This window comes from Homo sapiens, chromosome 3 (assembly GCF_000001405.40).
Source record: "Homo sapiens chromosome 3, GRCh38.p14 Primary Assembly".
NCBI classification, from domain to species: Eukaryota; Metazoa; Chordata; class Mammalia; order Primates; family Hominidae; genus Homo; species Homo sapiens.
Genome location: NC_000003.12, coordinates 132,596,507 through 132,624,443, shown reverse-complemented (window position 1 = coordinate 132,624,443; position 27,937 = coordinate 132,596,507). Strand labels below are relative to the sequence as shown.

At 36.8% G+C, this 27,937-nt stretch overlaps 2 protein-coding genes and 1 long non-coding RNA gene across 7 annotated transcripts in view, besides 1 other annotated feature; 2 read left to right on the top strand and 1 right to left on the bottom strand.

Annotated features, from left to right (window-relative positions):
• The window catches only part of NPHP3-ACAD11 (NPHP3-ACAD11 readthrough (NMD candidate)), a 164,322-nt gene that overhangs the window by 98,016 nt on the left and 38,369 nt on the right, over positions 1-27,937 (top strand). The window contains exons 35-39 of the long non-coding RNA NR_037804.1: positions 3,152-3,312; positions 4,899-4,976; positions 5,672-5,810; positions 19,239-19,346; positions 21,117-21,215. This is a non-coding gene — a long non-coding RNA (NPHP3-ACAD11 readthrough (NMD candidate)). The remainder of the gene's footprint in view (positions 1-3,151; positions 3,313-4,898; positions 4,977-5,671; positions 5,811-19,238; positions 19,347-21,116; positions 21,216-27,937) is intronic.
• Positions 1-27,937, top strand: part of ACAD11 (acyl-CoA dehydrogenase family member 11) — a 101,669-nt gene that overhangs the window by 35,366 nt on the left and 38,366 nt on the right. For 3 of the 4 annotated variants that reach the window (NR_132427.2, NR_132426.2, NM_032169.5), the window contains exons 10-13: positions 4,899-4,976; positions 5,672-5,810; positions 19,239-19,346; positions 21,117-21,215. Coding sequence is in view for 1 of the 4 variants with exons in the window: in NM_032169.5 (NP_115545.3) it covers positions 4,899-4,976; positions 5,672-5,810; positions 19,239-19,346; positions 21,117-21,215 (424 nt within the window). In the remaining 3 variants the exon portion in view is untranslated. The remainder of the gene's footprint in view (positions 1-4,898; positions 4,977-5,671; positions 5,811-19,238; positions 19,347-21,116; positions 21,216-27,937) is intronic. The other variant, NR_132428.2, reaches the window with a different exon arrangement.
• Positions 5,087-6,286: an enhancer, noted in NCBI's record as "BRD4-independent group 4 enhancer chr3:132337002-132338201 (GRCh37/hg19 assembly coordinates)". NCBI's record gives its function as "activates an origin of replication core promoter dependent on BRD2, P300/CBP, MED14 and CDK7 cofactors, and independent of BRD4, by STARR-seq in HCT116 cells {active_cell/tissue: HCT116}" and the evidence as "EXISTENCE:reporter gene assay evidence [ECO:0000049][PMID:35650434]".
• Positions 21,800-27,174, bottom strand: ACKR4 (atypical chemokine receptor 4). 2 transcript variants are annotated; one of them, NM_016557.4, is made up of 2 exons: positions 27,121-27,174; positions 21,800-24,055 (listed from the first exon to the last, which is right to left on the bottom strand). In NM_016557.4, exon 2 carries the CDS (start codon positions 24,044-24,046, stop codon positions 22,994-22,996), a length of 1,053 nt encoding a protein of 350 aa, NP_057641.1. In that variant the 5' UTR covers positions 24,047-24,055; positions 27,121-27,174; the 3' UTR covers positions 21,800-22,993. The 2 variants fall into 2 exon arrangements, with proteins under 2 accessions (NP_057641.1, NP_848540.1); NM_178445.2 differs by lacking the exon at positions 27,121-27,174 and having other exon boundaries at positions 21,800-24,307.

The following is a 27,937-nucleotide window of genomic DNA, read 5'->3' as shown; positions in this document are numbered from 1 at the left end:
TAGTAGGGATGGAGTTTCACCATATTGGCCAGGCTGGTCTCGAACTCCTGACCTCGTGATCCGCGCACCTCAGCCTCCCAAAGTGCTGGGATTACAGGTGTGAGCCACCACGCCCGGCCTTTTTTTTTTTTTTCCTTCAAGAGACAGGGTCTTGCTGTGTCTCCAAGCTAGAGTGTGTGATGTGATGCTATCTCACTGCAGCCTCAAACTCCAGGGCTCAAGCAAACCACCCAACTCAGCCTCCTGAGTAGCTGGGATTACAGGAATATGCCACCATACCGGGCTAAATTTTACATTTTTTTGTAGAGACCTGGTCTCACTCTGTTGCCCAGAACTACTGGCTTCAAGCAATCCTCCCACCTCAGCCTCCCAGAGCGCTGGGATTACAGGTGTGAGCACCTGCACCTGAACAACTTTTCTTTTTTCGGGGGTGGGGGAGGGTGGTGGGGGGTGGTGGGGATTGGGCAGAAATCCCAGGTTGTCTGTCCTCCCTGATTACTGCCTGATTCCTACCTACTTTCTCTAAAATGAAGCCTATCTGATAGCATGCTAGTACTTGCAATCAGCCCATCATTCAGAGGAGAGGCCAGAATTGGCAGAGGAAACCAGGCAGGCTTGTTCTTTCATTGGTAAATGTGAATAAGCATATAAGAGAAACTGCAGCACAGAAGAGGTGTCACAGGTTGGGTTGTGATACTCTGCTGAACTTTGTGTCATGCAGCTATTGAAATATGTACAAAAAATTTGCAATAAAAAGAAGTGCTTTAAGATAAATAAAAAAGCAGCCTATAGCTTTAAAGGGAAGATTGCCAATGTTTTGTGTGACCAGAAAAGCCACAATCATTTGTCTTTGAAGATCCTTTAAATCTGAGACATAACCATATCTGATAATGTGAGCTTTTTCTTCTTTTAAAAAAATTGAAAAAAAAAATCGTACTGTACCAACATCTATAAAAACGTTTTATCCTGTAGAATGATAGTGAACAATACAAATCTCTGTGTAACATGTTAGAGGATGTTATTTGGAGATTATATTTGGAGAAAAGTAAATAGCTTTTTCAAAATCAAAGAGGGAAAAATCTATATAAGATTCTATCCAACATTATTATAACTAAGCTTACAAAAACCAAAACAGTCATTTCTAGAAAATAGGTTGTATCATATAATACAATACTTTAACAGCACTTGTCTTTAACCACTGAGACGCTTCATGACTTTTTCTTTATATTTTTAGATATTTTCAAATTTTCTATAGTGAGAAAACATAAGCTTCATTTAAACTATTCTAATGACCTTTTGAAACTCCTTGAATATTATAAAGTGAGAGCATAACCCTTATCTATGAAAATATTAAAAGCCAATTCTTCCAATTGGAAAATATTAAAAGCCAGTTTAAGCCAATTTAAAATGGGTAAGAAATCCTAAAAATAGCATGTAAAACAGGAACTAGCAACATAACACAGTGAGAACACACTTTTAACATAATGGTAACATTAATCATACTTTCCTGCTGAGTCTAATATACTAAGGATGAACTGTTGCTTCTTTCTAGTAGACTTCAGTTTAAAATGAAAAACATTTTGCAAAATTATTTGTAGGCTCAGATTTAAGATGCTGAACCAACCAACATACTCAAAATTAGTATCTCTGTCAGTGAGTGAGGACGCAGTATGCTACAGGTGATATTTTGGGAAGATTGACCAGGCACCAAGCATAGTTTCTGCTTTTGGCTATTAACTAATAAATTACTTTTCTTACTTTAAGAACCAAAGAAGGGTTCTTTATAATGAGGAATTTTATTTAATTTTGAGTCCTACCGTGCCACAAATAAACTTTGCAGATATCTAAATGGATAAAATTTAGAACTCAAAGTATTAAATAATACAAATTTTAAAATTATATAAACACTGGCATAATTTAATTTCTTCAAACTGTGGTCAGAGATGAGAAAAGGTGGTCAGAGATTAGAAAATGAGAAATGTACTGCATAATATATTTCTTATCAAACACAGTAGCATTGAATATTTCCAAGGCAATATGAGGGATGGAAATAATAAACAACCCCAAACAGGAAATCTTCCAATTTAACGGACTTCCTGACAGAAATGAGAAGGGCTGTTCATCCTGGTGCCTTTGAAAGAGCAGACCTTTGCCTTCTTGAGGTTTTCATTAAATACTGCAATACTCTAGACTAGCCATGCTTCAATGAAAGGAACATTTTAGTACATTGTTATATGAGTGTAAATTGATAGAATGATTTGGAAAATAATTTGATAATATGGGTTAAGAGTTTTGACAATGTTTGTAAGTAATACCACTAGCCTAAGTGTAGAAACATACAGAGATACTATAATAGCAAAATATTGGAAAATGCTGTTATACTCCAATATTTTTGTTCTATATTCTTTTAGTTGTACAAATTAGTGATTGTTATTGTTTTATGTGGCTTTTTTTTTTTTTTTTTTGAGACAGAGTCTCATTCTGTCACCCAGGCTGCAGTGGGGTGGGGCAATCTCGGCTCACTGCAACCTCTGCTTCCTGGGTTCAAGTGATTCTCCCGCCTCAGCCTCCTGAGTAGCTGGGACTATAGCCATGTGCCACCACACTCAGCTAATTTTTGTGTATTTTGGTAAAGACAGGGTTTCATTATGTTTCATTTGGTAAAGACAGGTAGGCCAGGCTAGTGTCAAATTTCTGACCTCAAGTAATCTGCCCACCTTGGCCTCCCAAAATGCTGGGATTATAGTTTCAAATTTTAAGTTTACCTACCTATTTATCATTTTATTTATTTACTATTCCTTCTTGCAACTCAGATGTTTCTTCTAGGTCAAGTTCCTTTAGTGTGAATGTGCGAGTAAACTTTTCCCTTTCCTTTGTTTATCTTTTTTGTTGTTGTTTTCCTTTTTTCTTGCTGGGGAGAGGTGGCAATGACTTTACTTATTGTTAATACCTTTATTTTGCCCTAGTTCGTGAAAGATAGTTTCATTGCATATAGAATTTTACAATGACAGTTATTTTCTCTCAGCAATTGAAGCTATTATCCCAGTGATTTCTGGCTTCATTTGTTGCTTTGAGAAGTCAGCTCTCAATCTTAACTGTTGTTTAATTATCAGTAATCTTTCTTTTTTCCCCTCTTCTTTCTCTTTTTCAGATTATGAGACTGATGCACTGCCCTACTGCGCTAAGGAGGCAACCTCCTCTTTCTAAGAGCTTTTCTTTCTCTTTAATGTTCTGTAGTTTTACTATGCTCTGGCTTCATTGGCTTTCCGAATTTGAGGATTGCTGTCTTATCAGTTCCGAAAACTTTTAAGAGTAATTTTTCCAAATATTGCCTCTCTCTTTATTCTTTATGTCTGGGACTCCAATTAGACTTGTGTTAGAACTTCTTTTTGAATTCATTATATTCCTTTACCACTCATATTTGCCTTCTTTTGAGTTTCTGTGCATCATTCTGAGTAATTTCTTCAGGTCTTTCTTCCAATTTATGATTTGTTTTTTCAGCTGTTATCTAATCTATTTTTCAACATCCACAGAGTAACTGTTTTCAAATTTTGGAGTGTGTGAGAATTGCTTAAGCTAGTAAAGGACACAGAAGTGCAGGTTCATTGAAGTAGGACAAAGCTTAGGCCCCCATATTTTTATCAAGTTCCCCAGGAGATTCTGAGAGCCACCAAAATTTGGGAATCACTGCCATAGAGTTTTTAAGTTTCATCTCTATGGTTTTCCTTTCCTTAGATTTTATTCAATTCTTTTTCAAATGTGCCTGGTCACTTTTGATAGTCCTTTGTTATACTTTTAATTTCTTCCTTTATTCTTGAAATCTATTAAACACAAATAGTTTATGTCCTGTGACTGATCATTACTCTATTTATAGTCTTTGGGAAGTGCAATTCCATCTTGGTGAATGATTGTTTTTGCTAACTCTTACTAATGGTGGCTTGTTTCCTTGAGTGATAAATAGTTTTTTATTTTGAACTCATGTTCTGGAATTTTATCTGTGAAAGTTATTTAAGGCTTTGTTTAAAGCTCTTTCCTACAGATAGGATTTGTTTTCGCATCTGCCAGGTATTAGCAGGCACTGTCACCAGAAACACTGTAAACTTAAATTTTGGCTTAAAGTTTAATGCCCCATAAGTCTGTGAATTCAGTCCCAAACTTGGGTGAAAACAGACTTCAGTTAGAATGTTTATTTTGTCTATTCCAGCCAGAGCTAAGACCTATATAAAGGCCTGTATTCCCATGGTCTACCTCTGAGGGGTGGGTTTTCTGTTTGTTTGTTTTTGCTTTTTAAATTTTCTTCCACTTAGGTTTTACCCATCAAGCAGCCTAGCTTTGGTGGAGGAAAGAGCTGATCTTTGATCCTCCCTCTTGCCATGTTTGGGGCATTTGACTATGTCTGACTCCTGCCTATGTGGCCCATTAAAACCTAGGGTGTAACAGGGCTAACATAGATCAGCCTATATGCCCTGGACAAACTTGGCTGCAATGTGTGCTCACACTTGAAGAGTCAGGCTTTTTTGTTTCTGGCCTCCAAGGAATTTTCTCATTTTCCTTCCAGCACAGCTATGTATTAATAAATGTATTTTAAAACTATTTTTAATATTTTACCCAACATTTTTAGTTGAGCAGTTTCTATGACTATCTAGTTTGTCATATTGCTAGAAATGAAACACTCAAATCTTGGTATAAGATTTTAGTAGCCTACTATCTAATATTGTGGCAGCATGATTTTGTGATCAGCAAACCTTTAGAATGTTTTATGCTTCTGTGTCTGGTTTAATAATAGCTGAAAAAGCATCTTCACCTAAAAATGTTTATTTTAGATATTAGCAGTTTATGACATTGTTTACTTTGTATTAACTTTAGCTAGTGAAATTTTTTTCTTTTATTACTTTAAGGAGGTAACTGAGTTCTATGTTCAAAATGAAAATTCAGTGGACAAGTGGGGAAAACCTTTAGTGATTGATAAACTCAAGGTAAGAAAATCTTTAACGCTAGAAAATTCATATGCAAGTGTTTTTTGAGATCCTAGACCTTAGTTTTGTTGTTGCTATTGTTATATATGTAGAAGAAAATTATATCAATAATAACCTTTAAAAAAAGAAAGTTAATAAATAGAATCTATAACATACAAATTAGGCTAGGTAGTGTTCTATATATGGTAGTAATGAAGACAACCTCTTACAACTGTTCAAAGGAAAAAATATGATTAAAACTATTCATTATTAGCCATCACTGAATTGAGACTGAAGTCAAGGCAGGGCATTTGTCCCACATAGAATTAATCCAAATTTCATGTTTTTCAAATCTTAACATCAATTCATGTAAGAAATTAAAATGCACAAAGTAGTATATTTGGCATATCATACTCAAATGTGGGAGATTTTGTAATAGTTCTGATTCCAGAAGAAGTTCTCAAGTAGCAAACTTAATTTTTCAGCCAAATCCAAGGAAGCTTGGAGGAAAAGACATGTTATTAATGGTTAAACTGTTGATTTATAATGAATTAATAAGAACTTGGTTTTGCTCACTGGAGAATACAGTAAAATAAATAACTCCATAAGTGTTTTTAAATTTCAAAGATCATAAATACCAATATTTAAAAAAAGAAATAAACTACTGTGAGTCCTGGTAAATTATGGTCACTCTGGCATGTTCATCACCTTGACAGGAAATGGCCAAAGTCGAGGGTCTCTGGAACTTGTTTTTGCCAGCTGTCAGCGGACTCAGCCACGTGGACTATGCCTTGATTGCTGAAGAAACAGGAAAATGCTTTTTTGCTCCAGATGTCTTTAACTGCCAAGCACCAGGTTACTACATTAATTGAAAACATAATTTTTTCTAATATTTTGATCAGTGTTTAAAATTTCTATATATGATAAGAATGTGTTTTTATACAAAGTTATTGACTTATGAATTTAGCTATAATTTTACTTTTCAGTTACTTTGATTTAAATATAAGAAATGGATTTGAAATTTTCATTGGACTATTCTTTTGTTAAATATCATTACAATTAAGAGTATTGGTGAAAAAAATTAGCCACCAAAGGGATTGGTCGTGTAAGGATCATGGATCATGGATCCATGGGAATTGGATATTTCTATTACTAGTTGGAATGGATAGAGAGTTTCAAATCTTTTGGTTAGCCTCACTATTCATTCACCAAATGAATAAACCATTCATTTACCAATTATTTACTGATTACCTACTATGTCCCGAGCAGTGTTCTATGTTCTCACAATGATATATCAGTGAATAAAATACGCAAAGATGCCTTCTTTCAAGGATCTAATTGACATACAAGGATACAAAAATAAATAATAATTATAATAAGTAAACTTCAAACTTACGTAATAAGTTTGAAGATGAAAAGTGCTTTGGAAAAAAACAGCAGAATAGAGGAGCTCTGAAATTTGAAGTACAGGGAATATGGGTTACATTTTTAAATAGAATGGTCAGGATAGGCCTCACTGAGAAAATGACATTTGGTAATAACTTATATAAGGTGATTTCTTGAGTTAGTCATGCTGTTATATGGGGAAAGAGTTTTTATAGTAGATGGAACAGAAAAGGCAAGAGTGTGATTGATGTATTCCAGTAATAACCAGAGAGGCCAGTGTGGCCAGGAAAATAATAGTAGGAGAAGAGATCAGAGAGGCAAGGGCCTCATATTTTGAGCTTCATAGGGCAAATAAGAGGGGCTTATACCTTCATTGAAAGGATGAGCCAATGGGAATTTTGTGCAGATTAGTGATAAGTTGTAACTTCAGTTTTGAAAGGATCACCTTGACTGCTATGTTGAGAATTGACCAAAGTAGGGTAAGAGGGAAGCAGAGAGTCAGTGGCAATAATCCTGGTGAGAGATAATGGTGGTTTAGACTGGGGTGGTAGTAGTGTAGTGGATGATAAGTAGCAAGATTCTAAATATATTTTAAAGGCAGAGCCATGAGGATATCCTCATTGGATATGGGGTATTAATGGAAGAGTCAAGGATGCCTCCAAGGATTTTGAGGTGAAATCAAATTGAAAAGATGAAGGAAGGAGGCCAATTTTTTAAAAAGTAAAATGAAAGGAGTAAACCTGGAACGTAGTCTATAGGAGGTATCTTCAAAACTGGATTTGCAGAAGAACCACCTAAGGAACCTTTGAAAAATCTAGATTCCCAGCCTCCATCCCTAGAGATTCTGATTCAGTATATCTAGGGTAGACCCTGGGAATATTTTTTTTCAAATTACTCTGATTATCCTAATGCTACCAGTCAAGGACTAGCACTTGATTTGTAGTAGGATGATTATGGGACAATATCCAATGGCAGGCCCATCCCTGCACAAGATAGGCCTCAGTATTGCCTTTTGTGTTTATGCATGGCCCTGGTGCTAAAGCTCTACCAAAAACAAGTTAATGCAGGCTACCAGAAAGAGGTATATGAGACAGTACTGGACTCCTGAGACAAAACGCAGTCTGGATTTTCCACACTGGACTTTGTCTCATTGCTTTGGCATCATTAAAATAGTTTGTAGATTTCTGATAATGGTTGAACTTGTCCCTGAAATGATTATCTCTTTTCCAAACACTGATTTATCAAATTACTGCTGTACTACATTGTAATCCAATAATAAGCTACTGTAAAATTAAAGTCTATTCACAGAGCTTCTAAAGATTTCATCTCAACTGTGTAAGGCTATTACATCATTCTACAAAGGTAGCATGATTTTGTGGAAAGGGAACTGAATGGGTAGTCTTTTTGTTTAAAACATTTTTGATTGCTACTCATAGTAAGAAATATATTTTATATTGTGACCCAATTTGTAGAATATATAGGTGTATGTATATGTTCAGAATGAATGGATGGATGGATGGATGGATATTATTGAAACAAAAGTTTCACAAAACAAGAGTTTCTCTTACTACATGCAAGTGCATTTGGATATTTTCCACTGAGTCTAATCTAATGCATTCTATTTTGTTCTATTTCATTTTTTAGAGAATGCTAGCTATATTCCATTAAGTTGATTTCATGATGCACTAATGGATCATAATATGAAAAATAATCCTACCAAAGACTTCTCTTGCAGATTCAGCTCTGCCACTATTTTATCATTTGACCTGTGAACTCACTTTTCACTAGATGGTCATGGATTTTTCTCTAGCATTAAAATTTCATGAGTCCATCAGCTGTACTGCCTAAATGAGATAACTAAATTGCTGAAATTTTAAAATTGGACAGAGATTTGCTCTAAGAAATGATGAGCAACTCTTCTAAGCAAACAAGTTGTGTACAACTATAAATAGAAAACTAGGCGTTTTCTCTTTGTGGTGAAGGTACCACGAAGGCCTCAAGCATTGCATTTTGGATCATTTCCAAAGCAGATGAAGAAGGCAGTATAATTGATGTTGAGTAAATACTTCGAGAGGTTTCTTAAGTATAAAAGATGAATTTCTACTCAAGCCACCCAGATCATTTCCCAAATAGTTATAAAACATATGGGAAACATATGTAGTCTTCCAGTTTGCCCTTTTTCCCCCCTTCAATAAGTCATACAATATTGTATATTGGAATGTTGAAAATAGCAACTTTAATTCTAAAGCTATTACTGGAAAATTTGGGGGCCTTTGGGCTGGTATTTGTTTTATATACTTTAAGTTCTGGGATACGTGTGCAGAACGTGAAGGTTTGTTACGTAGGTATACACATGCCATGGTGGTTTGCTGTCATCTACATTAGGTATTTCTCTTAATGCTATCTCTCCCCTAACCCCTCACCTTGCGACAGGCGCTGATATGTGATGTTCCCCTCCCTGTGTCCATGTGTTTTCATTGTTCAGCTCCTACTTATGAGTGAGAATATGCAGTGTTTGGTTTTCTGCTCCTGTATTAGTTTGCTGAGAATGATGGTTTCCAGCTTCATCCATGTCCCTGCAAAGAACAGGAACTCATCCCTTTTTTATGGCTGCATAGTATTCCATGGTGTGTATGTGTCACATTTTCTTTATCCAGTCTGTCATTGATGGGCATTTGGATTGGGTCCAAGTCTTTGCTATTGTGAATAGTGCTGCAATAAACATACATGTGCATGTGTCTTTATAGTAGAATGATTTATAATCCTTTCGGTATATATCCAGTAATGGGATTGGTGGGTCAAATGGTATTTCTGGTTCTAGATCCTTGAGGAATCACCATACTGTCTTCCACAATGGTTGAACTAATTTACACTCCCACCAACAGTGTAAAAGCTTTCCTATTTCTCCACATCCTCTCCAGCATCTATTGTTTCCTGACTTTTTGATGATCACCATTCTAACTGGCGTGAGATGGTATCTCATTGTGGTTTTGATTTGTGTTTCTCTAATGACCAGTGATGATGAGCTTTTTTTCATATGTTTGTTGGGCACAGAAATGTCTTCTTTCGAGAAGTGTCTGTTCATATACTTTGCCCACTTTTTGATGGGGTTCTTTGTTTTTTCTTCTAAATTTGTCTAAGTTCTTTGTAGATTCTGGATATTAGCCCTTTGTCAGATGGATGAAGTGCAAAATTTTTCTCCCATTCTGTAGGTGGCCTGTTCACTCTGGTGATAGTTTCTTTTGCTGTGCAGAAGCTTTTTAGTTTAATTAGATCCTATTTGTCTATTTTGGCTTTTGTTGCCATTGCTTTTGGTGTTTTAGTCATGAAGTCTTTGCCCATGCCTATGTCCTGAATGGTATTGCCTAGGTTTTCTTCTAGGGCTTTTGTCATTTTAGGTCTTACGTTTAAGTCTTTAATCCATCTTGAGTTAATTTTTGCATAAGGTGTAAAGAAGGCATCCAGTTTCAGCTTTCTGCATATGGCTAGCCAGTTTTCCCAACACCATTTATTAAATAGGAAATCCTTCCCACATTGCTTGTTTGTGTCAGGTTTGTCCAAGATCAGATGGTTGTAGATGTGTGGCGTTATTTCTGAGGCCTCTGTTCTGTTCCATTGGTCTATATATCTATTTCGGTACCAGTACCATGCTGTTTTTGTTACTGTAGCCTCGTAGTATAGTTTGAAGTCAGGTAGCATGATGCCTCCAGCTTTGTTCTTTTTGCTTAGGATTGTCTTGACTATATGGGCTCTTTTCTGGTTCCATATGAAATTTAAAGTACTTTTTTTCTAATTCTGTGAAGAAAGTCAATGGTAGCTTGATGGGGATGGCATTGAATCTATAAATTACTTTGGGCAGTATGGCCATTTTCATGATATTGATTCTTCCTATCCATGAGCATGGAATGTTTTTCCATTTGGTTGTGTCCTGTCTTATTTCCTTGAGCAGTGGTTTGTAGTTCTCCTTGAAGAGGTCCTTCACATCCCTTATAAGTTGGATTCTTAGGTATTTTATTCTCTTTGTAGCAATTGTGAATGGGAGTTCACTCAAGATTTGGCTCTCTGTTTGTCTATTATTGGTGTATAGGAATGCTTGTGATTTTTGCACATTGATTTTGTATCCTGAGACTTTGCTGAAGTTGCTTATCAGCTTAAGGAGATTTTGGGCTGAGATGATGGGGTTTTCTTTTTTCTTTCTTTTTTGAGATGGAGTCTCACTCGTCTCGCCCAAGCTGGAGAGCAGTGGTGCAATCTTGGCTCACTGCAACCTCCGCCTCCCAGGCCCAAGCAATTCTCCTGCCTCAGCCTACTGAGTAGCTGGGATCACAGGAGCCTGCCACCATGCCCGACTAATTTTTGTACTTTTAGTAGAGATGTGGTTTCACCATGCTGACCAGGCTGGTCTCAAGCTCCTGACCTCAGGTGATCCATCCACCTTGGCATCCCAAAGTGCTGGGATTACAGGCGTGAGCCACTGCACCCGGCCAATGATGGGGTTTTCTAAATATACTATCATGTCATCTGCAAACAGTGACAATTTGACTTCCTCTCTTCCTATCTGAATACCCTTCATTTCTTTCTGTTGCCTGATTGCCCTGGCCAGAACTTCCAATACTATGTTGAATAGGAGTGGTGAGAGAGGGCATCTTTGTCTTGTGCTGGTTTTCTTTTTTTGTTTGTTTGTTTTGTTTTAGAATATTATTTTTATTTAGTTATTTTTATTATTATTATACTTAAAGTTTTAGGGTACATGTCTACAACGTGCAGGTTTATTACATATGTATACATGTGCCATGTTGGTGTGCTGCACCCATTAACTCGTCATTTAGCATTAGGTATCTCTCCTAATGCTATCCCTCCCCCCTTCCCCCACCCCACAACAGTCCCCAGAGTGTGATGTTCCCCTTCCTGTGTCCATGTGTTCTCATTGTTCAATTCCCACCTATGAGTGAGAACATGCAGTGTTTGGTTTTTTGTCCTTGCGATAGTTTGCTGAGAATGATGGTTTCCAGCTTTATCCATGTCCCTACAAAGGACATGAACTCATTATTTTTTATGGCTGCATAGTATTCCATGGTGTATATGCGCCACATTTTCTTAATCCAGTCTATCATTGTTGGACATTTGGGTTGGTTCCAAGTCTTTGCTGTTGTGAATAGTGCCACAATAAACATACGTGTGCATGTGCCTTTATAGCAGCATGATTTATAATCCTTTGGGTATATACCCAGTAATGGGATGGCTGGGTCAAATGGAATTTCTAGTTCTAGATCCCTGAGGAATCGCCATACTGACTTCCACAATGGTTGAACTAGTTTACAGTCCCACCAACAGTGTAAAAGTGTTCCTATTTCTCCACATCCTCTCCAGCACCTGTTGTTTCCTGACTTTTTAATGATTGCCATTCTAACTGGTGTGAGATGGTATCTCATTGTGGTTTTGATTTGCATTTCTCTGATAGCCAGTGATGATGAGTGCTTTTTCATGTGTTTTTTGGCTGCATAAATGTCTTCTTTTGAGAAGTGTCTGTTCATATCGTTCACCCACTTGTTGATGGGGTTGTTTGTTTTTTTCTTGTAAATTTGTTTGAGTTCATTGTAGATTCTGGATATTAGCCCTTTGTCAGATGAGTAGGTTGCAATAATTTTCTCCCATTCTGTAGGTTGCCTGTTCACTCTGATGGTAGTTTCTTTTGCTGTGCAGAAGCTCTTTAGTTTAATTAGATCCCATTTGTCAATTTTGTCTTTTGTTGCCATTGCTTTTGATGTTTTAGACATGAAGTCCTTGCCCATACCTATGTCCTGAATGGTATTGCCTAGGTTTTCTTCTAGGGTTTTTATGGTTTTAGGTCTAACATGTAAGTCTTTAATCCATCTTGAATTAATTTTTGTATAAGGTGTAAAGAAGGGATCCAGTTTCAGCTTTCTACATATGGCTAGCCAGTTTTCCCAGCACCATTTATTAAATAGGGAATCCTTTCCCCATTTCTTGTTTTTGTCAGGTTTATCAAAGATCAGATAGTTGTAGATATGCGGCATTATTTCTGAGGGCTCTGTTCTGTTCCATTGGTCTGTATCTCTGTTTTAGTACCAGTACCATGCTGTTTTGGTTACTGTAGCCTTGTAGTGTAGTTTGAAGTCAGGTAGCGTGATGCCTCCAGCTTTGTTCTTTTGGCTTAGGATTGACTTGGCGATGCAGGCTCTTTTTTGGTTCCATTTGAACTTTAAAGTAGTTTTTTCCAATTCTGTGAAGAAAGTCATTGGTAGCTTGATGGGGATGGCATTGAATCTATAAATTACCTTGGGCTGTATGGCCATTTTCACTATATTGATTCTTCCTACCCAAGAGCATGGAATGTTCTTCCATTTCTTTGTATCCTCTTTTATTTCATTGAGCAGTGGTTTGTAGTTCTCCTTGAAGAGGTCCTTCACATCCCTTGTAAGTTGGATTCCTAGGTATTTTATTCTCTTTGAAGCAATTGTGAATGGGAGTTCACTGATGATTTGGCTCTCTGTTTCTCTGTTATTGGTGTATATGAATGCTTGTGATTTTTGCACATTGATTTTGTATCCTGAGACTTTGCTGAAGCGGCTTATCAGCTTAAGGAGATTTTGGGCTGAGACGATGGGGTTTTCTAGATATATACTCATGTCATCTGCAAACAGGAACAATTTGACTTCCTCTTTTCCTAATTGAATGCCCTTTATTTCCTTCTCCTGCTTGATTGCCCTGGCCAGAACTTCCAACACTGTGTTGAATAGGAGTGGTGAGAGAGGGCATCCCTATCTTGTGCCAGTTTTCAAGGGGGATGCTTCCAGTTTTTGTCCATTCAGTTTGATGTTGGCTGTGGATTTGTCATAGATAGCTCTTATTATTTTGAGATACGTCCCATTGATACCTAATTTATTGAGAGTTTTTAGCATGAAGCGTTGTTGAATTTTGTCTAAAGCCTTTTCTGCATCTCTTGAGATAATAATGTGGTTTTTGTTTTTGGTTCTGTTTATATGCTGGATTACGTTTACTGATTTGCGTATGTTGAACCAGCCTTGCATCCCAGGGATGAAGCCCACTTGATCATGGTGGATAAGCTTTTTGATGTGCTGCTGGATTCCGTTTGCCAGTATTTTATTGAGGATTTTTGCATCAATGTTAATCAAGGATATTGGTCTAAAATTCTCTTTTTTTATTGTGTCTCTGCCAGGCTTTGGTATCAGGATGATGCTGGCCTCATAAAATGAGTTAGGGAGGATTCCCTCTTTTTCCATGAATAGGAATAGTTTCAGAAGGAATGGTACCAGCTCCTTCTTCTACCTCTGGTAGAATTCAGCTGTGAATCCATCTGGTCCTGGACTTTTTTTGGTTGGTAGGTTATTAATTATTGCCTCAATTTCAGAGCCTGTTATTGGTCTATTCAGAGATTCAACTTCTTCCTGGTTTAGTCTTGGGAGGGTGTATGTGTCTAGGAATTTATCCATTTCTTCTAGATTTTCTAGTTTATTTGCATAGAGGTGTTCATAGTATTCTCTGATGGTAGTTTGTATTTCTGTGGGATCGGTGGTGATATCCCCTTTGTCATTTTTTATTGCTTCTATTTGATTCTTCTCTCTTTTCTTCTTTATTAATCTTGCTAGCGGTCTATCAATTTTGTTGATCTTTTCAAAAAACCAGCTCCTGGATTCGTTGGTTTTTTGAAGGGTTTTTTGTGTCTGTATTTCCTTCAGTTCTGCTCTGATCTTAGTTATTTCTTGCCTTCTGCTAGCTTTTGAATGTGTTTGCTCTTCTCTAGTTCTTTTAATTGTGATGTTAGGGTGTCAATTTTAGATCTTTCCTGCTTTCTCTTGTGGGCATTTAGTGCTATAAATTTCCCTCTACATACTGCTTTGAATGTGTCCCAGTTTCAAAGGGAGTGCTTCCAGCTTTGGTCCATTCAGTATGATATTGGCTGTGGGTTTGTCATAAATAGCTCTTATTATTTTGAGATACGTTCTATCAATACCGAGTTTATTGAGTTTTTGCATGAAGGGGTGTTTAATTTTATCAGAGGCCTTTTCTGCATCTATTGAGATAATCATGTGGTTTTTGTCATTGGTTCTGTTTATGTGATGGATTACATCGATTGGTTTGCATATGTTGAACCAGCCTTGCATCCCAGGGATGAAGCCAACTTGATTGTGGTGGATAAGCTTTTTGATGTGTTGCTGGATTTGGTTTGCCAGTATTTTATTGAGGATTTTCACTTCGATGTTCATCAGGTATATTGGCCTGAAATTTTCTTTTTTTGTTGTGTCTCCACCAGGTTTTGGTATCAGGATGATGCTGGCCTCATAAAACGAGTTAGGAAGGAGTCCCTCTTTTTCTATTTGGAATAGTTTCAGAAGGAAGGGTACCAGCTCCTCTTTGTACCTCTGGTAGAATTCGACTGTGAAACCATCTGGTCCTGGGCTTTTTTGGGTTGGTGGGCTATTAATTACTGCCTCAGTTTCAGACCTTGTTATTGGTCTATTCAGGGATTTGACTTCTTTTTGGTTTAATCTTGGGAGGGTATATGTGTCCAGGAGTTTATCCATTTCTTCTAGATTTTCTAGTTTATTTGCATAGGGTGTTTATAGTATTCTCTGATGGTAGTTTGTATTTCTGTGGGATCAGTGTTGATATCCCCTTTATCATTTTTTATTGTGTCTATTTGATTCTTCTCTTTTCTTTATTAGTCTGGCTAGTGGTGTATTTAGTTAACCTTTTCAAAAAAACAGCTCCTGGATTCATTTATTTTTTGAAGGGTTTTTCTTGTCCCTATCTCCTTCAGTTCTGCTCTGATCTTGGTTATTTCTTGTCTTCTGCTAGCTTTTGAATTTGTTTGGCTTGCTTCTCTAGTTCTTTTAATTGTGATGTTAGCGTGTCAATTTTACATCTTTCCCGCTTTCTCCTGTGGGCATTTAGTGCTAAAAATTTCCCTCTAAATACTGCTTTAGTTGTGTCCCAGAGATTCTGGTACATTGTGTCTTTGTTCTTATTGGTTTCAAATAACTTATTTATTTCTGCCTTAATTTCATTATTTACCCAGTAGTCATTCAGGAGCAGGTTGTTCAGTTATCATATAGATGTGCGGTTTTGAGTGAGTTTCTTAATCCTGAGTTCTAATTTGATTGCACTGTGGTCTGAGAGTCTTTTTGTTATGATTTCAATTCTTTTGCATTTTCTGAGGAGTGTTTTACATCCAATTATGTGGTCAATTTTAGAATAAGTGCAATGTGGTGCTGAGAAGGATGTATATTCTGTCAGTTTGGGGTGGAGAGTCTGTAGATGACTACTAGGTCTGCTTGGTCCAGAGCTGAGTTCAAGTCCTGAATATCCTTGTTAATTTTCTGTCTCGTCGACCTGTCTGATATTGACAATGGGGTGTTAAAGTCTCCCACTATTATTGTGTGGGAGTCTAAGTCTCTTTGTAGTCTCTAAGAATTTGCTTTATGAATCTAGGTGCTCCTGTTTTGGGTGCATATATATTTAGGATAGTTAGCTCTTCTTGTTGCATTGATCCCTTTACCATTATGTAATGTCCTTCTTTGTCTTTTTTTTATCTTTGTTGGTTTAAAGTCTGTTTTATTAGAAACTAGGATTGCAACCCCTGCTTTTTTGTTTGTTTGTTTTTGTTTTGCTTTCCATTTTCTTGGTAAATCTTCCTCCATCCCTTTATTTTGAGCCTATGTGTGTCTGTGCACGTGAGATGGGTCTCCTGAATACAGCACACCAATGGGTCTTGACTGTTTATCCAATTTGCCAGTGTGTGTCTTTAAATTGGGGCATTTAACCCATTTACATTTAAGGTTAATATTGTTATATGTGAATTTGATCCTGTCATTATGATGCTAGCTGGTTATTTTGCCTGTTAGTTGATGCAGTTTCTTTATAGTGTCGATGGTCTTTACAATTTGGTATGTTTTTGCAGTGGCTAGTACCAGTTTTTGCTTTGCATGTTTAGTGCCTCCTTCAGGAGCTGTTGTAAGACAGGCCTGGTGGTGACAAAATGTCTCCCAGCATTTGTTTGTCTGTAAAGGATTTTATTTTTCCTTCGCTTATGAAGCTTAGTTTGGCTGGATATGAAATTCTGGGTTGGAAATTTCTTTTCTTTAAGAATGTTGAATATTGGCCCCCACTCTCTTCTGGTTTGTAGGGTTTCTGCAGAGAAATCTACTGTTAGTCTGATGGGCTTCCTTTTGTGGGTAACCTGACCTCTCTGGCTGCCCCTCACATTTTTTCTTTCATTTCAACCTTGGTGAATCTGACGATTATGTGTCTTGGGGTTGCTCTTCTTGAGGAGTATCTTTGTGGTGTTCTCCTTATTTCCTGAATTTGAATGTTGGCCTCTCTTTCTAGGTTGGGGAAGTTCTCCTGGATAATATCCTGAGGAGTGTTTTCCAACTTGGTTCCATTCTCCCCATCATTTTCAGGTACACCAGTCAAACCTAGGTTTGGTCTTTTCACATCATCCCATATTTTTTGGAGGCTTTGTTCATTCCTTTTCATTCTTTTTTCTCTAATCTTGTCTTCATGCTTTATTTCATTAAGTTGATCTTCAGTCTCTGATATCCTTTCTTTCACTTGATTGATTCAGCTATTGATACTTGTGTATACTTCACGAAGTTCTCGTGCTGTGTTTTGCAGCTCTATCAGGTCATTTATGGTCTTCTCTAAACTGGTTATTCTAGTTAGCAATTCCTCTAACCTTTTGTCAAGGTTCTTAGGTTCCTTGCATTGGGTTAGAACATGCTTCTTTAGCTCAGAGGAGTTTGTTATTACTCACCTTCTGAAGCCTACTTCTGTCAATTCGTCAAACTCATTCTCCATCCAGTTTTGTTCCCTTGCTGGCGAGGGGTTGTGATCCTTTGGAGAGAAGAGGCATTCTGGTTTTTGGAATTTTCAGCCTTTTTGCACTGGTTTTTCCTCATCTTCGTGGATTTTTCTACCTTTGGTCTTTGATGTTGGTGACCTTCAGATGGAGTTTTTGTGTAGGTGTCCTTTCTGTTGTTCATGCTATTCCTGTTTGTTAGTTTTCCTTCTGAGTCCGGCCCCTCTGCTGCAGGTCTGCTGGAGTTTGCTGGAGGTCCACTCCCAACCCTGTTTGCCCGGATATCACAAGTGGAGGCTGCAGAACAGCAAAGATTGCTGCCTGTTCCTTCCTCTGGAAGTTTCATCCCTGAGGTGCACCCACCACACACCATCCAGAGCTGTCCTGTTTGAGGTGTATGTTGACCCCTGTTGGGAGGTGTCTCCCTGTCAGAAGGCACGGGGGTCAGGGACCCACTTGAGGAGGCAGTCTGTCCCTTAGCAGAGCTCAAGCACTGTGCTGGGAGATCCGCTGCTCCCTTCAGTGCCGGCAGGCAGGAATGTTGAAGTCTGCTGAAGCCGCGCCCACAGCCACCCCTTCCCGCAGGTCCTCTGTCCCAGGGAGATGGGAGTTTCGTCTATAAGCCCCTGACTGGGGCTACTGCCTTTCTTTTAGAGATGCCCTGCCCAGAGAGGAGGAATCTAGAGAGCTGGTCTGATATTTTTTAATGGGAAATCATTTTTCTTGTTGGTGTAGTTTATCCAAGTTTTTTTTTCCAACCTGTAAATGATAACTTTGTGAGCTTTTCGGAAGAAACTGATAATTTTTGGAAATTTTGAATTCAATATTTACCTTATTTGTACTATAACAAGTAACAGTGAATTTAAAACAGGCAAAGAAAACAAACAATGAGCTTCATGAATTATAACTCAGGACTTATTTTCTCCCTCAGTCAAAAAGAATGTTAAGCTGTGTTAATCTACAAGGAATTTTGTTAATGTTGATGTAATGTTGGCTCTGTTAGGAGTGCCTGAACAGAGTGCAGACATCTTGAGAAGTTTAACTTACACAACTCAATTTTCATAAGCATTTCAGTAACTAACCTTAAAGTCATTGTAAATGTTGATATGAAAATTGTTTTCTCAAAATCTTCTGAATAATCAACACTCAAGGGAAAGGTTTTAGACAGTATTTTAAGAAATTTGACAGGAATGGAAAATCAGAGGAAGCCATCTAGAAAATTTTACTCCATGGCAGTCATGAAGAATTCTTTGTTAGCCAAGGGCAATACTGCAGTGCATCATGTACTATAAACAATACCCTCCAAGGGTCAGAGAGGGTCTTTGAAGTTATCTACTGCCATTTTCTTTCCAGGGCAGGGATTCTGTCTTTAGCATCCTTGAGAATTATCAAGTATTTTCTAGGTAGTATGGGGTACATAAAAGTAAGAGCAATGTTAGAGGTAAATAGAAATAATTGTTATGTAAGTTCAGAGGAAGGAGGTGTCACTGACTGGGTAATCAGAGATTCTTTGCAGAGGAGGTGGCTCATACGCAGGAATTTACTTGTGAAGGACAGGGAGAATTTCACTTGAGAAAAAGCCTGGCCCAAGCATATATGTGGAAATTAGAAAGCACAGGGTGTGTTTGAGGAACAGCAGATAAAATTAAGGGCTGGAGTCTCAGTAGGACATGCAATGTTAATTGTTCTCCGGGAGCATTGCAATCACTTCTAGCAGGGCATATTTGCAATACAGCAGGCAAGGTTTAGGCCAGTAAATTTTTTCCTTCAGTTCTAATTGAGTTAGATGTCATTAGTGCCATTCTTCATTGGGATGAACTGAAGAAGAGTCTGTGATTCAGAACAAGTTGAATAAATATGCACCAAATGCCCTGTACTTGTAAATATTTATGACATGCTGTCAGTATAAATTATATTTACTATATATTTCAAAATATTTTTGTTAGCAAACATTTGCTTTAAAAAGATGCATTTCTATACTCTCTACATAAAGTTGTGGATTTCATACTGATAAATTTTCAAATGCAAAACAAATACTCCTTCTTTATGTGTAGACACAGGGAATATGGAGGTTCTGCACCTGTATGGAAGTGAGGAACAGAAGAAACAGTGGCTTGAGCCTCTTCTTCAAGGGAACATTACCTCTTGCTTCTGTATGACAGGTAAATGCCAATCACCATTCTCTCCTTGTGTAGTCAGTCGTCCCGGAGTTATTATGGATGAGCTGAAGAAATACAGGATGTGGTTCTGTGTTTCAGTCAAATTTGCCATTGGCCAAAAATGTGAGTATGTTTATTTTGAGCCTGTTATTAAATTTTGGCATTTTCAAATGTTCAGAAAAATATGATCCTCTCCTTTGTTAGAATATCAGATGATGTTCTCTAGTAGCCTGCTATAGCATTAGTAGCAGAGTAAACTTAGTTTCACAATTTTTTGATGTCATTACTAAAATTGCTATATATGAATATTTAAGATCTTCTTTGCCCTTATGTATGAAATATCTATCTTTGTGATAATTTTATATTGATACTTATAAAATATTCAACTCTTCCATAAACCCAGAAAAATAGAAATTTCACCAGTACTGGACATATGGCTCAAATTATAATCATGTGGGAAAATAAAGGAACATGTCAATAAAAACAGATTTAATATCATTTGTACATAGAAAGCATTAAGAACTCTTCAATAGAAAAAAATCATTGTTTTGTGATTTAGTTTAGAATTATACCAAATTTTGCTTGTCCATAATTTTTAAGTGCTTTCAATAATGGCCAGATTTTATTGTTTTGTATAACATAGCATACATTTATACAGTACTCCTCTTTTATCTGAAGGGGATACGTTCTAAGACTCCCAGTGGGTGTCTGAAAACTGGGATAGTCCTGAATGCTATTTAGACTATGTTTTTTCTTATACATATGTACCTATGATACAGTTTAATCTCTAAATTAGGCATAGTAAGACATTAATAATAACTAATAATAAAATAGAACAATTATAACAATACTCAGAATGGTACACTATTTAAAAATTACAAATTGTTTACTTCTGGAATTTTTCACTTAATATTTTTGGAATGCAGTTGGCCTCATAACTGAAACCTCAGACAGCAAAACTACAGATAACAGGGGACTACTATAATAGCAGAACTGATCTCCGTTTAAATCAGTAATAGGCATTTATTGAATACCTACAGTAGGATGTATTGTCTACAAAGCACTAGGTGGGGTTTACAAAATAAGTAGAATACACAGCCCTCTTTCTAAAAAAGAAAAAAAATAAGTCTTAAGTTTTAGAAACAGAACACATGGGATATCTGAAGGACTCATTTAAAGGGGTGTCATATTAGCAAGTGCAGATTGCTATGATTGAGAGCTAGACAGTTCTGAAGTGCCATGCAATAAAGCAGTTGTCTAAGGGTGTCCCATGGAGAACTTTCTGAAGACCTTAAGTGTTGAACAGGCTTTAAAGAATGCAAAGTATATAAATCAGTGAAGGCATTCCTGATGGAATTTGCAAGGCACATTAGAAATTGCTTAAGACAGTAAACTATATGGGGGGAATCTGTCTTGCCAATCAATATTTAGTACATATCTCCATTGTGAGAAGTAGAAAACAATACTTTTATCTACATTTGCTGATTGGAGAAAGGACTGGGTTGTATCCCAAATCATATATCAGTGAGGAAGCCAAAAATACAGTTCAAAATACTGATCCCCAATGTTCAGTATACTTCATTCATTCACTCATTCTTTCAGTGCACGTTTATTGAATACTGTGTGTAGGTTATGGGAAAAGCAGGGTGGAATGGGGAGTGAAAGGACATTGAAAAAGATAAAGATGTCTTTGTTTTTAAAGTTTTCATATCCTTATCTAAGTCTACTGATGATATCTGCCTGCCTGTAAATTCAGCTTTTGTTTATTTATAGAACCTGATGTAGCTTCAAGTGATGCCACGAATATTGAATGCAGCATCCAACGAGATGAAGATAGCTATGTAATTAACGGCAAAAAATGGTGGAGCAGTGGTGAGTGTTCAGCCTAATTTTTTCACCTAACACACTGATCCTTTGTTCCAGATGCTATGCTAGAATATTGCTATGATACATAGTGATCAGTTTCATGATCATAATTCTTTAAATTCTGCATGTGTAGGCCAGGTGCGGTGGCTAACACCTGTAATCCCAGCACTTTGGGAGGCTGAGGCAGGTGGATCACCTGAGGCCAGGAGTTCAAGACCAACCTGGCCAACATGGTGAAGCCCTGTCTCTACTAAAAATACAAAAATTAGCCAGGTGTGGTGACAGGCACCTGTAATCCCAACTACTCAGGAGGCTGAGGCAGGAGATTTGCTTGACCCCGGGTGGCGGAAGTTGACATGCGCTGAGATGGCACCACTGTACTTCACCCTGGGCAACAAGAGCGAAACTCTGTCTCAAAAAAATGAAAAAATAATTAATTAATTCTGCATGTGAAAGCATTTTCAAACTTAGAAATAGTGGTTGAAAGAAAAAGTAATTTTAAAATAACATATGTTGGTTAGGTGATGTTTAAGAGCAGAAAACATGTCATTTTTTGTAGTTTTAGAGATAAAATTCATTAGTGCATACTATTTTTGACCAATGTAATTGCTAGCAAAATTTAATTTTAGTAGGAGCATATTACATGGATTATAATAATTTACAGCAAATTTTTTTAAAAAAGATAAGCTGTACATGTTAATTAACAATAATTTATTGTGGTACATATTTTTATTACTCAAAAATAAAGTGTTTAAATGAAAATAGGACATTTTATGCATGGGATAATGTATTTTTTAGTCAATCGGCAGTGGTAGACTTGTATAAACAGATGAATTCTTTAGGAAGTTAAGAAATTGGAACCCAGATGAAAATGATAGTCTGAGGATTACACCTAGACTATATATGATAAACCTAACATTTGTCATGATAACCAGTTATTAGTAAGAAAGTTGACATCATAGAAGCAAATTATGTCTTTAGGAACTTACCAGGAATGTTTTGAAAAGAATCAGAAAAGCTTATTATAGTTTGTTTTTTTTTTATTGCTTTTTTGGAGGAGGTGGATTTTATAAAATTACTTACAAATTTAAAAAAAACAGGAAAAAAGATAGTTGGAGTTCTGCTGCATACTTATTCAAGTACTAAAATTATGCAGGGAAATCGTTCTTGTATTAAAACTTAGATAATTAAAAATAATTATAAATGCCTTTTAACATGAACCTCTTTAATAATCTGTTTTAGATGGCCTAACTTATAGCATAGTGGGTTTTTTTTTAACTTGTTTTATTTTGAAATTATTATAAATTCACAGGAAGTTACAAAGATGGTACAGAGTGGTCCTGGGTACCCTTCACCCAGTTTTCCCCAATGGTTCCATCTTACATAATTATACTATAATGTCAAAACCAGGAAATTGAAATTGGTACAATGTGTGTATATAGTTCTGTGTCATTTTATCACTTGTGTAGATTTGTATAAGCACCACTGCAACCAAGATACAAAATTATCACCACAAAGCTCTTCTTCGTTACAGCAGAGTGTTATTCACTTATGCCTGTTACAATTATTTTCCTATATTGTTCATTTTAATTTTCATGTTTTGTACATTTATTATCTTGTTTCCTCTTCTTGGCTTTTATTTCTCCCCCTTCCCCCAACCCATTCTTTATTATAAGTTGCAACCACGGCGTCTGAGATTTGAGTTTCAGAATAATGCAGATGTTTTATTTGAGGGGAAAGCATCATTCATATGTATCCAAGCAAAAGGCAGAGCAGTTTTACCTTTAAATGCTAAAAGTACTGGTTGGCTCTGTAGGACCCTCAGAATCAAAAGGAAACTCCTCCACACTTTGTCTCTGTCTTCTCCAGGACCCATATTTCTTGGCCACTTTCATAACGTAGTTTTTGAAAGATGCTCCCATAAAAACATAAAGGATTGGGTTGAGGCAGCTGTGAAAGAGTGCGATGCTTTCTGTGACTTGGATGGCGATGTCCATGCGTTTGCTCATGTTGCAGCTGGTGATCAGGGAGTAGATGATGTCTATGGCTCGGCAGAACTTGACAATGTTATAAGGCAGTTGAGTGACAATGAAAACTATAACGACTGTGAGCAGAACTTTTAGGGGTCGAGATATTTTAATGTTTGGCATCTTCATGAGTGTCCTTGCTGTGATAAAGTAGCACACCCCCATAATAAGAAAGGGTACTACAAATCCAATGCAGATCTCTAGCATTTGAATCAATGCTTTCATTGATGTTCCTAGGTAGCGGGGGAAAATGGGAATGCACCTAGCATTGTCATTTACTGTATAAAAAACCAGCTGGGGTATGCTCAGCAAGATGGCAGCCATCCAGACACAGAAACAGATGATCCAGCATGGTTTTCCCACTCCTGATTGGCTGGGGACTTTAGTTACTGCCACATATCTGTCTATGCTGATACAAGCCAGAAACTGCATTCCAGAGACAAAGTTTAGTGTGTACAAGGCTGAAGTTATTTTGCACATTATTTTCCCTAAAACCCACCCATGAACTGCATTAACAGCCCAAAAAGGCAGAGTGAATAGAAGGAGTAAATCTGCTACAGCCAAATTCAGGATGTACACATCTGTTTTGGTTCTCTGTTTCTTGTAATAGGCATAAATTGCCACTACCATGGAATTGCCTGCAAGTCCAATGACGAAAACTATTGTGAGGAATACAGGGAGGAAAACTTTTGCAAATTCTCTGACATCTTCTTTGATACAGATCAGTTCATATTGACTGTAGTCATAAGTGCCATTCATTTCATTTTCCTCATAATAATAATCTGTTGACTGGTTCTGTTCCAAAGCCATGGCTCCAATCTAGATGGCAAAGAGAATACAGGATAGATATTTGTCTAAATATGCTTAAAAGGAAACAGTTTTTATCAAGCTGTTTTGTTCTTTCCCTAGAGTATAGCCTGTTGCTGTAACATATGTGAGCCTGAATCTAGCACTCTTTGAAATGCTTTAATGGGAGCCACATTGGAATATGACCCCAAGATTAGTTACTCAAACTTTGCTTGTACAATTCTGTGTGAAAGAGCTTGGATTTGAACAGGACAATAAACATAATGCCCTGGAGAATTTTCTTAATCATTAAATCCTAAATAAAAGTGAAGACTTTTATGTAAAAATGATTTTTAAAATATGAAAATTTAATTAGATTTTAACTAAAAAGAATAAATAGTGTTATAATCTTTACATACATAATTTTGTGAATCGTAAAAGTATATCTACAACAAATTGAATAAAAACGAAAATAGCAAATTACTTGGTTTATTTAAATTAAATTTATTTTTTATTTTGATGTTATTTATAAATTTAATTTAAATAAGTTAAATAAATTCTCTCAGCATTTGCACTAAATTTCACTAGTTGCCTTTTATAAAACAAGATCTCCTTTAGCCAACTTCCCTCCAAAACTGGTCACTACTTGCTTATTGTATACTGTTTTTTAGTAGCACCACTATCTTCTAATCATCTAAGCTGTAAGCCTGCTTCATTCTTGTCTTCTCTCTTACCTTCATCCCTGCTTCCCAATCAGTTCCCAAGTTCTGATTCTGCCTTCCAAGTAGGTCTTGAATCTGTCTTCTCCTCTTAATCTGCACTCTTCCACACATTTGCACAATTCAGCTATTATGTTTCTCACCTAGCCTACTGCAATATCTTTCTTTTTTAATATTTAATATTTAATTTTTTTTTTGAGATGGAGTCTCATTCTGTTGCCCAGGCTGGAATGCAGTGGACAATCTCGGCTCACTGCAACCTCCGCCTCCCGGGTTCATGCGATTCTCCTGCCTCAGCCTCCCAAGTAGCTGGGATTACAGGTACACACCACCATGCCTGGCTAATTTTTTCTATTTTTAGTAGAGATGGGGTTTCACTATGTTGGCCAGACTGTTCTCGCACTCCTGACCTCGTGATCCACCTGCCTCGGCCTCCCAAAGTGCTGGGATTACAGGCGTGAGCCACCGAGCCCAGCCTATTTTTAAATTTTAATCCATTTATTTATTTATTTATTGACCAGGTTATGAGTCTGTATAACTTTTTGTATTTTTGATAGAGACGGGGTTTTGCCAGGTTGCCAAGGCTGGTCTCAAACTCCTGGGCTCAAGCAATCTACCTGCCTTGGCCTCGCAAAGAGTTGGAGTAACAGGCATGAGCCACTGCACCTGGCCAAGCAGTATCTTTCTAACTGATAGCCTGTTGTTACTCCTCCTCAATACCTCCTTTTCAAAAACGTTTTTCTTACTTCCACCAGAGTATTTGATCTCTAAATTGCCAATCTACCTCTCCTCTGTTTTGTTCCTCATCTGGAAGACACATCTCTTCACCTGAAAGCCACAATCCAAGCTCCTTAGCATAACACCCAAGGCTCCCTTCATAATGTGGTGCCATCCATGGCTCCTGCCACCTCTCCCTACTCTGTGTCCACACTAGAGACAGTGATAGGACTAATTTCTCAGCAGTGGGCTGGCACCCACCATGCAGCAGCATCTGTCTACATCATTGCTCATTCTGTTCCTTTATCTACCATACAATTTCCTGCCCTTCCCTGGAAGGGCCAATTCCTACTCAATAAACGCGGATGCGACCTCCCCAGAAGACTTTCCTGATGTATTAGCAATCTCTACATACCCCTCAGAGAACTGATCCATTCTGTGGAAAGGATGCGTTTCCCATACTACCTTGTTCCTCTAGGTTTTAAGTTCCTCAAAGCATGACCTATTTGATTTGTGTTTGTAAATAAAATCTTGTTAATGTGCCTGGCACAAAGTAGCTTCTCAGTAAATATTTGTCAAATTAAAGCTTTTGCCAACAGGTATAAAGCTGTTACTCTAGAATGGATAGATAGTATGCCAGAAATCTTCTATGTCAACATTGTTATTGCACTATGTTGGCTACTAGCACCCCGTAGTATTAAGATAAGCTTGCACAGAATTCGTAAGTTTTGGAATGTATAAAATAATGACTTTCAGTGTTTTTATTATAGTGCTGAATTTTGTTTTCCTTTTTCTTATCCTTTCTATTTTCCTTGGGTTCTTTTTGTCCTCTGAAGTATCTCAAATATTCTTATAGAATCAATAATGAAAATATTATTTTTAAAACAGTGTGCCAACTTATAGTACATTTTCAAAAGAAATGTTCTTATGTTTGCTAACTTTTTTTGAATGAATATAGCAAAGAAAAGAAGGCTCTGAAGAAAGACACCACATAGAAGAATTGCTTTCATTATGTAAAAACCGGGTGCCAACTTTTTTAAATGACTCTTTTTATCATTAAAGTTACTTAAAAAGTTCCAATCTGGAAGACTACTCTGGTCTTCATGTTCTTATGCATTAATTATTAACACAGTATGAACCTTGTTCTTCCTTTCTCTTTCATCAGAAAATCTTGAACCTGATGATAAGAAATAATATGGCCAAATATTATAATATATTAAGGAAGGGAATTTTTAAGTAAGAATTAATCTTACTAAAAATGTGAGTAAAAAAGAGTAGAAATGGAATTATTTGCAGAAATGATCCTTCCGGCAGATATATAGACACGCTTTTAAGTGTCTTTATAATTACCATGAGAATAAAAAAAAAATCAGTACTTGTAAAAGAAAGTGAAAAAAAGTGGTATAATAAAACCTATTTTCTCCTTAACAAAGTTTTACCGACAAGTAATGGCATTTAAAATCGTATTTTCTTCTTGCTATATTAAGATTTTCATTTAAGGTTAAACTGTACAGCTATTTTCAAGTAACCCTTTTTTTTTTTTTTACAAGTAAGCATTTAAACTTTTATGCATCAAGACTCCATCTATATAAGTAAATATACAAGATCTTTGGGCTTAAAAAAATATTCAAGTCAGAATAAGAAAAGAAATAAAGTACCAACCTGTTGTAGTCGGCAGAGAGGAGCAGTCTTGAGTACAGAGTATAAAATCAAATGACCTAACTCCAGCTACTTTTGTTTTCACTTTACACCCCGCCTTTATCTTGTATCCAAGAAGGCTTTCCTGAAATTTAACCTTGTGAGCACTTGATATTTTATTTCCTGTAAAACCATCTGTGAAGTTAAATTCAACTTCTTAAGTGGTTTAGGTTACAAATTTGAGAAAATCCATCTTTTTTCAAAAACTATAGACCTTTCATAGTTTCCACTTAGTCAAAGGGGACAAGAAAGTGCCTGCAGCTGAGCTACTGACTGCTGAACCAGAAGGAGAATCCACCTGAGGGCATCTAGGCAGCACTTGTAGGTAGCATCTAGAGAAATACTCTCTAAAGTTATTTTGCCTAAGGAAGAAAGCAAATATGATTTTAACCAAGGAAAATATCTTTTTGAAGACTAAATTATCAAAGATTAAATTATAAGTAATCATTAGGTATTTGCAATAGAATTTAACATTTTTATGCCACATCATTTAATATTTATTTAAACTACTAGAGTCTTCCTGGCTTCACTGTACTTTCTCTATCCTTGTCCCAGAGTATTTTCCCATGGCTTTAAACTCTCTTGCTTTCTTGTTACCTTTTTTCCCAAAGCTAGAATATGAACCTTCAAAATCCTTCAGTCTGGGAGGCTGTTTATTTTTTCCACATTTCCACACAAGTAAGTTAGAGAAAGAAGAGAAATTTATGCTGATTTGGCCCTCATGGTCTATTTGAACTTGGCTTTCCTCAAATTTGCATGGCAGTTATCTATTTTTTCATGC